Source organism: Homo sapiens, chromosome 9, assembly GCF_000001405.40.
Source record: "Homo sapiens chromosome 9, GRCh38.p14 Primary Assembly".
Lineage (NCBI taxonomy): Eukaryota > Metazoa > Chordata > Mammalia > Primates > Hominidae > Homo > Homo sapiens.
This window is the reverse complement of record NC_000009.12, coordinates 11,607,281-11,619,014: the sequence shown is the minus strand read 5'-3', so window position 1 is coordinate 11,619,014 and position 11,734 is coordinate 11,607,281. Positions and strand designations below refer to the sequence as shown.

At 37.7% G+C, this 11,734-nt stretch overlaps 1 long non-coding RNA gene across 2 annotated transcripts; it reads left to right on the top strand.

Annotated features, from left to right (window-relative positions):
• The first annotated feature begins 265 nt into the window (after positions 1-265).
• LOC105375975 (histone-lysine N-methyltransferase SETMAR-like) lies at positions 266-8,793 on the top strand. 2 transcript variants are annotated; one of them, XR_929479.1, is made up of 2 exons: positions 266-519; positions 8,655-8,793. It is a non-coding gene; the product is annotated as a histone-lysine N-methyltransferase SETMAR-like (long non-coding RNA). The 2 variants fall into 2 exon arrangements; XR_005646972.1 differs by lacking the exon at positions 8,655-8,793 and adding an exon at positions 7,070-7,979.
• The last annotated feature ends 2,941 nt before the right edge of the window (positions 8,794-11,734 follow it).

The following is an 11,734-nucleotide window of genomic DNA, read 5'->3' as shown; positions in this document are numbered from 1 at the left end:
GAGGGGGCAGGGGTGCCAAGTCCCTCACCTTACCCGGGAGAAAAGAGATAATTAGTGTGGGGTGGGGTTCGGGCCCAGGGTAGGGTGGCAAGAGAGTTTTTTAGTGGGTAGGACATTGCGGGTGGAAAGTGAGGTGAATGAGGGCTGGGAGGCCGCAGGGGACGCTGAATGGAAAAAGCAGGTTAAAGCAGGGGGTGCTGAGCAGAAGGGGCAGAGCAGAGCAGAGGGTGCTGGGCGGAAGGGTCGGGGCAGGGCGAGGGCAGGGCGCCACCTCGTGGCTGGGGTGCCTGCGCAAACCAGCTGCCTCACCAGCCCTGGAGCTCGCACCACGTGGCCTCACCTCACGTGTGCTGTCCCCCTGGCCACGTCTGTCTTTGTCTCACCTGACGTGCTGTGCCTCTCCTGCCAGGGCTCTGTCCTGTCTGCCGCCACTACCGCCGCATGGCCCTGCTCGGCCTGCAGCCCGCTCGCCGCTTCGCTCCCTCAGAGACCCCGCGCCAGCGGTCCGTATTGGCCACGGTGAGTTGAGGCCCGCCCCTCATGGCTGCGCGGCGAGTGCGGGCGGGAAGCGCATGGCCAAAGTGGGGCGCCCCTACGGGTCGGGAAAAGGGAGAACATGGCGTGCGGGCCTCAGGTGGGAGGCGGCTCCTGTGGCTTTGGCGCCGTCGTTGGAGGTTCCTGGGAGAGGGTGGCCGTTAGGACGCCGTCGTCTGGCACAGGGGCGGAAAGCCGGGGACCCTGAGAAGCGCGAGGGGATTGGGCCTCCTACGTTGTTACCCTTTACCAGCACCTGGGTCGCAGGGGAGCTGTGGTTTTGTGGAGGAATGGTTTACCATCTTCAGACGTCCTTGGCACTGCCAATATTTAGCATTTTCGATAAAATGGTGGAAATCCTGGGCCGGTCGAAGTCCCAGGGTGCGAAGGTTGGAACCGGAAAACAGAAGAAAAATGATTTCTTAAAAAATAATATCTTTAAAATAATATTTAGCTTTTTATAATTAATTTTAAAACTAAATAAAGGAAATATAATGTTTCATGGTAAAAGTTATATCTTTTAACAGTAGCCTAAATTGTACCTCTTGTGGTCAGTTCTGTTTTATTGGAATTCACTTTCCTGTACAAATCTTGATAAATATGTTTTTCTTTTTGCCCAACTAATATGTATACATGTAGCAATGTACTGTGTGAGTTCTGATATACAAGGATGTTTCATACATTATTTGGGTAGGATATGGTCACTTATAAGACGTGTATGATTTAATGGGGTAGGCATTATGAGGAGAGAAATTTCTAACATGGTCTTATAGGTACAACACAAAAGGCCTTATAGGTACTGGGAGTGTATGGAGGTGTAAACAGTGGGACAGTTGTTGCCAGAGCAAGTCTGCAGTCATGGCAGTTGTGGAGTTGGAATAGCGAAAGGTGGTGAGCTTAGAGAAGGACATATGGAATTGTTCGGTAAAGATAGATAAATTTGAGTCCAAATTGCTACTATTCACACAAATTCTAAGGTGTTTTCTGTCCTCATGAATTAGTACTAGGCAGGAGGATAAAAGCAATAAGGAGATCAAAGCGTAAACAAATTGAACTCATATTATCAAAGATTACCATATAGAAATCTGTGTGGAGATGATACTTGAATTGTGATCAGGGTTATTTTGCCTGAGTTTTTTATAATGCAAAATGGGAGCAGCGGAGGAGAAACAGCATCAGAGTCTTTGGAATAGTACAAGAATTCTCGTTTGTTGCATAAATCTCATGATATCCTTTGTTTTGGGGAATACAGCAAGTGGAGAGACTCATAACCGTTTTTAAAGTCAGATTAACTGTGTCTAAATATTGAAAAGAAAAATAGCTTCTAAATAGAAATGTTGGAAGAAGTTATGAAAAATCTGGAAGGCTACAAATTAGAATGTTTAAATGTTTTCTCTAGTAAATTTTTCTGAAGAGGCTACAGAGGATTAAAAAGTATTTATAAAGAAGAAAGAGAGATAGAGGGAAAGAGGAAGGAAGGAAAGAAAAGAAGAAAGAAGGAAAGTGAATGAGAGGAAAAGACGGAAGGAGGGAGGGAGGAAGGAGGGAAGAAAGGAAGGAAGGAAATAAATTATTGTAAAGGAAGATTACACTTATGGACAATATTCTCTTTAAAATTCTTTGAAAGATGTGGCACAAATAAATATTGAAATTCTCTTATCTTGTCAGAAAATATCGGAGTACAAATTTCTGAAAAATTAGGGCACTTGTTTTTCTGGATTTTATTTTTGTTTTATTGTTTTCTTTGTAGGACCATTTCAAAATATGTCAAATATATTTGAGGGGGAGGATTAAGCTCTGTTTTTTGGTTGTTGTTTGTTTATTTGTTTTTTGCCCAAATTCCTGTCTAAGTGGTCTGGGTAGTCATGCCCTACAAACCATAAATTCTCATCAGATGGGTTTTATTTAACTCTATGTATCATGATTTACTTTCCAACCTGACTCTGGCATACTATTACAAGGAAGAAAATAAAAATATTTTACCCCAAAACATGTTTCTTTGCCATATCTTGAAATGGCCCTGAAAAGCAGTCCCTTGTGGGGGAAAATTCGCATCTGTAAAGAATCTCTATTAAATAGGTAAATCTTTTTCTTCTAGGCCTTCCCAATACTAAAGAGATTAACTAAAATCTAGCACCTGTTAAAGATCTGAGTAGAAAACATTTGTCATCAATTGTCTCTAAGAGCAACCACTGTAAGAGTTCAGAATAACCTTGGTCTCCACAATCTTTTATCTTAACCTGAAATTACCTTTCTATGGATCAGATGAATTTAGATAAACTCAACCAACTGTCAACCAGAAAATGTTTAAATTTACCTATAGCCTGGAAGTCCCCCGGCTTTGAGTTTTCCCACCTTTCAGGACCAAACCAATGTATTTCTTAAATGTATTTGATTAATGTCTCATGCCTTCCTAAAATGTATGAAACCAAGCTGCACCCAGACCACCTTGGGCACAGGTTCTTAGGACACACTCCTGAGCGCTGTGTCATGGGACATGATCACTCATATTTGGCTCAGAATAAGTATCTTCAAATATTTTACAGAATGTGACTCTTTTTGTCGACATGGGTAAAATACTTCAGTTTCTTTCAGGGCCTGCTATCTGTCATGTTGGTATCTTATTGCTACAAAGAGTCTGTTTTGTCAGTTCAGTCTTAAAGTCTCTGTTTTAATGTTAATGTTGGTGAGTTGTGCCTAAATTCCAAAAGAGGAGGGTATAATGAGGCATGTCCAACCCCTCCTTTCCATCATAGCCTGAGCTAGTTTTTCAGGTTAACTTTGGAATGCACTGGGCTAAGAGGAGGGGTCCATTCAGGTGGTTGGGAGGGCTTAGAATTTTATGTTTGGTTTACATTCTAAATTTTCCTTTATTACTTATTTTCATCTCAAACTATACCATAATGTCAATTAATTTATTTTCAGTCAAACTGCATAATGGCATTTCAGTCAGTGACATACCACATATATGATGGTAGCCCCATAAGATTATAATGGAGCTGAAAAATTCCTATGGCCTAGTTGCATCGTAGCTGTCATAAAGTCATAGCACAATGCATTATTCATGTGTTTGTTGTGATGCTGAAGTAAATAGACCTATTGTGCTGCCAGTTGTATAAAAGTATAACACATACAATTATGTATCATATATAATACTTGATAGCAAATGGCTATGTTACTGGTTTATGCTTCTATGACATGATACTTTTTATCATTACTTTAAAGTAATATTATATTACTTTAAATATATTACTTATATTAAAAACAGTTAATTATAAAATAGCACCAGGCAGATCCTTCAGGAGGTATTCCAGAAGAAGGTACTGTTATAATAGGAGATGAGAGCTTCGTTCCTTATACTGTCTCTGAAGACCTTCTAGGAGGTGGAAGGCATTTATACTGATGATCCTTACCTTGTTTAGGCATGTCCTAAGGTGTGTGTTTGTGTCTTAGTTTTTAAAAAAATTTAAAATGTTTAAATATGAATTAAACAACATCTCATAAAAAGAACTTCAAGAATGAGAAGCCCAGGCCTAATTAAACAATCAAGAATGTCATCAGGAAACAGGCTGTATTTATTAATATCTATCCCACAGTGTCAACAGGTTTCTTCATGCTTTAGGATTCATGAGTACAGCATAGTTTCCACATGTCTAACTTCATGTTCACATTATAGGCCAGAACAAGGAGAAGAAAGACAGGAGTGTTCCATGTGATAGCAAGCAATATTTCCCAAGAAATTCCACCATATTTTGACTTCTGTTTCATTTTTCCAAAAGGTGTCATGTACATACGTCCAGCAGCATAACAAACTTGGCAATTGAATTTCTAGTGTTCCAATCTCCATAGTCGAGGAATCATGTGAGAAATTACTGGGACTGAATAATAAATAAACTAACCTCTAACACCTAGTATAGTTCACCTCTTTGATTATTCATCATCCATTCACACTATCTTCCCTTTATTAATATTAGTATGTAGAATTCACTCACCCCCATTCCCTCACCATCTTTCTATGTATTTTAAATTTTTCCACTAGGTCTCCAACAAACTCAGATATGTTTCTAACATGTACAATAATGCTATAGTAATGGGGGAAAAGAAACATAACTGACTTTGAAATGCAAGAGTAAAAAGAAATTCTATTTGAAAAGAGAAAAACAGGCCAAAGTGATTCTATCATCACAATTTTTGTATCCCGATGGTAAGGAATTACAGAGCTCATGATTGTGCAATTTGGCCACCATAGGGTACAATGCTGAAGAGCAATACCCATATGATTTTCAGGTCAAGTCTGCATGAAAAGCTGCACTTTCTACTCATTATTTCTCAGTTACCTTTCCAGATTCATAAACTATTCACCAAAACTTTTAAGCATAATTGTATTAATCCTTTCTCTTCCCAAGTTGGGAATCTTTTGCCTATTGGTTAAAATTATCAGGGAAATAAAGATCAAAGTAGCCCATACCTTACTGATACAGCTGTCTGGAGCATGGATTTTGAGTTTCCAGCCAGGTGAGACTAGTAAGATTGCACCTTTGAAATAAACATTGTTAGTCACCAAGTTACTGGCAATTTTGGATAAATTACTTGGCTCTCCCATGCGGACAGAGTGTTTACTACATGCAGACAGGCGAAGAAAGACAGAAAAAGAGAGACAGAAAGAGAGAAAGAATAAATTAATGTGATAATGCGATGTGCTTCTAGGGAACATGATAAAAAATACTACTAGTTATGTATGTTAATATTCCATCACTACTTTTGTTTTTGTTGTTGTAAACATTTCATTAATGTGTCTTTTGGTTTTTATCCATTTATTTCTGTCTTCCAGCGTCCAGTGTTGATTATGTAAATTTTACTCTGTAGGCCAGCAGCCAGAGATTTAGAAAGAGCTGATGTTTCAGTTCAAGTTTAAAGACAGGAAAGAAATATGTCTCAATTCAAACGCAATCACTTAGGGGAAATTCCCTCTTCTTCAGATGAGGGTCATCCTTTTGCTCTAGTCATGCTGTCAATTGATTGAATGAGGCCCACCTGCACTAGAAAGGGTAACCTGCTTTCCTCAGTCTATTTAAATGTTATACAAATTCAAAACTCCCTCACAGAAACATCCAGAATAATGCTTGACCAAATATCTGGGCATACCATGCCCCCCCCCCCCACGTCAAGTTAACACACAAAATTACTATTATAGATAGAAAATAGGTGAATTCAGATGACTGTAAAACACAACAAGAGTAAATCATAACCCAACACATGTTCACAGGAAGGCTGCTTAGAAGCTAGACACAGTCTGGGTGACAGACTTAGGACTTAGAATTACATACAAAGGTAACAATAGAGGTACTTCATACCATGTTTTTTGTTTTGTTTTGTTTTGTTTTGTAGACAGCAGTGGCTTTTGCTAGAGGATAAAGCTAAAAAAAAAAAAAAAAAAAGTTAAACCCCAAACCAGAAATCTCAAATTTTAAAGACACCCTGCATATCTTGTTCTAGACCCTATCATGAGACAGAGATAATACTATGCATTTATCTCAATATTTCAATATGCTTTTCAGCATACAGGAAGTTTGCATTTTGTAGCCAAGCAGGAGACATGTCACCAGAGCTACCAGATGAAATGTTGCTGATAGCAGTGTTTTCTAATTTTAGTTCTGGCCTCTAAAACTTCTCCTATGAGTCTCAAAATCTGTCTTTGTCCTTCTCAGCTATAGATGTAGAAGATCCAGTAGATAAAAGCTCCAGTAAATGGCAGAACCACTTGTAGGCCTATGTCCTCAAATAGGCCTAGAACAGAGAGCACTTACCACCCTAACTTTAATTAAGAGCATATTTATTTTGTTAAATTAAAGCATTTTTTGTTCTATTTGATGCAATAGGTGGAATTAATTACCCTGATCAGTGCAGTATAGAGGGTGGTAGCAAAAATAAGGAAAGGTTATGAATATCATTGGATTAGCAGTTGAATGGCCAGGGAATTTTACCAGAGACAGGAATGTAATGCAGTGGAAATACATTTGATATTTTCCTTTTGAAATATTAAAGGCATGCCATGTACCTGTCAAATAATTGGCAGATCTAGCTAGGAGAACTGGTAGCACAGAATCAAAATGTGAGCTACTGGCTACTATAAACTGCATTTTGCAAAATAATACAAGATAGAGATGTGTTCAGGAGAGAATTGACCAGTTGCAAGGGAATAGATGAAGCCCAGAAGTTACCACCTTGAGAGAATAGGGAAACTAACTTCTTTTATACCTTAAAGAGTAGGTAGAGGGTAGATTGAGAAATTCTTCAAGCAAAAAGGTACATTGAGAACCAGTAATTGAAATGGTAATTATGGGTTGGTTCAAAAGTAATTGTAATTTTTGCATTGTTGAAATTTGCCATTTGGTATTGGAATACATTCTTAAATAAATGCGGTTATGTTATAAATCATTTTAATGTGCATTTCTCCTTTAGTTTTTGTTGTTGTTGTTGTTGTTGCTGTTGTTGTTAGTGACATTACTTGCTGTTTATTTTATATTTATTTTAGACTATGCAAATGACGTTAGACAAAAAGCAAATTCGAGCGATTTTCTTATTTGCGTTCAAAACGGGCAGTAAAGCAGCTTGGACAACTCACGACATTAACAATGCCCTTGGCCCAGAAACTGCTAACGAATGTGCAGTGCAGTGGTGGTTCAAAAAGTTTTGCAAAGGTGACAAGAGCCTTGAAGATAAGGAGCACAGTGGCTGGCCATTAACAATGACCAACTGAGAGCAATTATCAAAGCTGATTCTCTTACAACTACATGAGAAGGGGCTGAAGAACTCAACGTCGAACATTCTGTGGTCATTTGGCATTTGAAGCAAATTGGAAAGGTGAAGAAGCTTGATAAGTGAGTGCCTCATGAGCTGAGCGAAAATGAAAAAAAAATAGGTGTTTTGAAGTGTCATCTTATTCTATGCAACAATGAACCATTTCTTGATCGGATTGTGACATGTGACAAAAAGTGAACTTTATACAACAGTCAGCGATGACTAGCTCAGTCGGTGGACTGAGAAGAAGCTCCAAAGCACTTTCCAAAGCTAAACTTGCACCAAAAAAAGTCATGGTCACTGTTTGGTGGTCTGCTGCCAGTCTGATCCACTACAGCTTTCCGAATCCCGGCTAAACCATTACATTTGAGAAGCACAGTCAGCAAATTGATGAGATGCACCAAAAACTGCAATGCCTGCAGCTGGCATTGGTCAACAGAAAGGGCCTAATTCTTCTCCATACCAGTGCTCAACCACACCTTGCACAACCAACACTTCAAAAGGTGAATGAATTGGGCTACAAAGTTTTGCTTCATTCGACATATTCACCTGACCTCTCTCCAACTGACTACCACTTTTTTAAGCATCTCGACAACTTTTTGCAGGGAAAATGCTTCCACAACGAGCAGAATGCAGAAAATGCTTTCCAAGAGTGCGTCAAATCCTGAAGCATGGATTTTTATGCTACAGGAATAAGGAAACCTATTTCTAATTGGCAAAGATGTGTTGATTGTAATGGTTCCTATTTTGATTAATAAAAATGTGTTTGAGCCTAGTTATAATTATTTAAAATTCATGATCTAAAACTTCAATTACTTTTCCACCATCCTAATATCAGCCATTTTTTAAAAAAGCCTGAGACCCTCAAGAAAGCCACCATTAAGTTAAAAAATAGGGGAAGGGAGGAGAGGGGAAAGAGAAGGAGAGAGGAGAAAAGAGATCAAAGCAAAGAGTAAAAGGAATTTGAAGACTGTATTAAGAAAGACCTAATAACTACCAAGTTGCACTAGGTGGTAGTAAATAGATTGGAAGCCTAGTAAATTGCTTTTAAAATAATTATGTTGTCAATAAAAACTAACACTCCAGCCTAAAGAGTTCAAGTCCTCAACTTCTATAATTATGAGTCACTGAATTTCTTATTCTCTCAATATGCATTGGAAATATTCATAATGTCTGATGCTGAGAGAATTTTACATTGCCGTGGACCATTTAGTTGTGTCTTACATTCTTTTCTTTTCACATGAGTTTTTAAAAACTTAAATAGTATGTAATATACGTGAGGGGCATGCGAGGAGGTAACATTTCTCTTTGGTCTGTAGGTTACAAGACCCAGAGGAATTATATCTGAATCACAAACTACATGGGAAGGATTCCAGGACACATGGAGATCCTGTATTTTGGTAGGACAGAGTAACTCAATGAGACTTTGTCTTAGTCTTGCTTGGGAAAGTGTGAAGTAGCCAGGTAGCCAGGACACAGATATACAGACATGATATGTGATGACTGAATCGATTTTCTATGCCTAGAAAATAGCTAAATTATAGTTCCCTCATTTTTCCCTCAGTTCTCATTTTTTCTTGCTTCTTAATAGAGTCATATAGTTGATTTTTAACCTTAATAGTGAGCTAAATGATAAACATGATATGTCTCTTCAAGCCCCACCAACCTCACTTATATCTCTCTCTCACATTTCTGTTGACTGAAAGACAACAGTGCCCTTTTTTTTTAATCAAAATGTTTAATATGATGGAACCTAGGTTCCTCAGTCATCCCTTGGAAAGGAGAAACTGAACTGCTTTGGGCTGTAGCAGGAGCAAGAAATCCAGCGAGATTTTAAAATTGTTCATTAGACTACTTAGTTTACAGTGATAAAAAGTAAATCTAAAACAGATAACACTGGCATAGGATTCTTACAAAAGGCAACTCATTAAAACATAAAGCAGGCTTCATTGCTGAAAATCCATCTATACACTGCCAAATCCATCTATACTCTCCCATAGATGGGAGAAAACCCATCTATGATTAACATGGAAGTTAGAATACATGACTACTACAGTTGTATTTCTAAGGAAATAATTTGGAAAACAGAATTTTAGTAATGTGTGCTGTTTTTTATTGATCACATTTGACAATGTTAAATCCGAAATGTACAAGCTCCAGAGAGAATTGGTGAGTTCTGCAAGTAGAAATGAAGCAAATGAAAAGGGTCCAGAAGTTTTCAATGTCCAAAAATTGAATGAGACAAATGTTTCTAGATCCCTGTAAAAGACAAGATGGAAAAGGCTCTCAGCTATATAGCCCTCATAATATTTTTCAGCTGATCAAAATGATTCCACTTTTTGGCACAAAACAGATCAAATATATGGCTTTTCCACCCTTTATTCCACCTGGCTTCAGACAATAGATACTGTTCTAGCTTGCCATTAAATTGAGAGAGAAGTAAGGGAACGAGAGGTCAAAGAAATAGCATAATTTTGCCGAATATCTAATAAAGATCTTCAGATGGAGTTGATGTCACAGGGAAGCGAAACAGATGAATATAAAAGATAGTGAAGCAATTGATTTCTAGAGAAACCACAAGCCCAGACTAAAAAGCATTTGATTATCCAGCAAGACTTAAAATATACTTTAGGCAAGTAGAAAGTTATGAAAACCATGCATTCTTTAAGGAGCACCCACCTAAACACCTTCAAATATGACAAAGGAGGACATTAGTCAAGCAGAACGTCACAGAGAGTAGTATGGTTGTTGAAGCTAATATTTTATATTGGAAGGGAAAGGGTATATAATTGTTAATTCGTACTTAATTTCCACACCATACAAAATGCATCCAAAACTGATCAAAAGAACTTTACACATCAGTTGAGAATCTATCATCTATTTTCTCTGTTTTATATATGTGTATATCCTCACCAACATTTATACCTTTACAACTTTGTTTTTTCAGCCATAAATAAGGGAAAATAAGTGTGTGTAAATACAGTGCTTTAATGATGATGATGTAATTTTGTCAGTGTTTGATACATAATTGACTATTAAATCTGAGAACTAGAAACTTCACCCAATGCCATCTCATAAAGAAAATGTATTCATTAAAATGTTAATTAAATTTTGTTAATTAGTAATTAACTATTTTTGGGATAAAATTTAGCTACCTTAGAGATGCATTGGCAATATTGAAAATACTAATTAATAAAGTTATTAAGAAAAATACCAGGCATTCACTTGAATAATCTGGAAATATATTGAAAATATCTCTCATGTCTACTGAGACCTTGTTTGTTCCCACTGGTCAGGCATAGAGAAAATTAACTCCTGTTCCAAATTAATGTCACCATTATTAATACACATGGTAAAACCCAATAGCCTATATGGAAACAAATTTAAATTCTTGTCCACCTGTTCCATTGTTTGTGCTTGTATTCAAGATGTCCTTCCTATCTTCAGTAAACCTAATGTTATTCCTCTTTCATTCAGTTTCTTTCATATTTATTATATTAAACTTCCTCCATATATTCCTATTTCAGTTTCCTATAAAGCCTCAACTAAAAGCATGATGAGTAGTGCCAATGATGCATTCTTGTTTCAAAACATTTCACCTTGGCAAGTTTTGCAATTGCTACATAAAAGTAATAAGAGGCAAAACAGAGGGAGCAAAAATAGCTCCAAAACTGCAAAGAATATTTTATTTCATGAGGGAATTAACTTGCTTGCCCTCCCCTTCTCGGTGTTGAGTGGATCAAAATGGGTATCTTTAGTTACACTGACACAATTTGAATCAAATTGGATTGAATGTCTGCAGATAAGAATTCCATATTTTAAATCAATCTTGTTCCTCAATGCAAATATTTCCTTTACGTTAAAAGAAACATTTCTCTTCTTTCCATTTACATTCTTATTTTTTCTTATTTCATTTAAAAATGTATATCTAAAGATAGAAGATCCACTTTAATAAAAGTATATGTGTACACACACACACACACACACGTATTTATCCACATTTTATATATACATATATATGTGTTAGTTTACACATATATAAAATATCTCATAATCTTGCTTATTCACCCATAATTGAAGTTAAAGTCTCTCCCCTTTTTTTTTTTTTTTATTGAGATGCAGTCTCGCTCTGTTACCCAGGCTGGAGTGCAGTAGCACGATCTCGGCTCACACCAACCTCCGCTTCCTGGGTTCAAACGATTCTCATGCCTCAGCCTCCCGAGTAGCTGGGATTACAGGCACCCACCACCATGGCTGGCTAATTTTTGTATTTTTAGTAAAGACAGGGTTTCACCATGTTGGCCAGGCTGGTCTAGAACTCCTGACCTCAGGTGATCCACCCACCTTGGCCTCCCAAAGTGCTAGAATTACAGGTGTGAGCTACCGCGCCAGGCCTAAA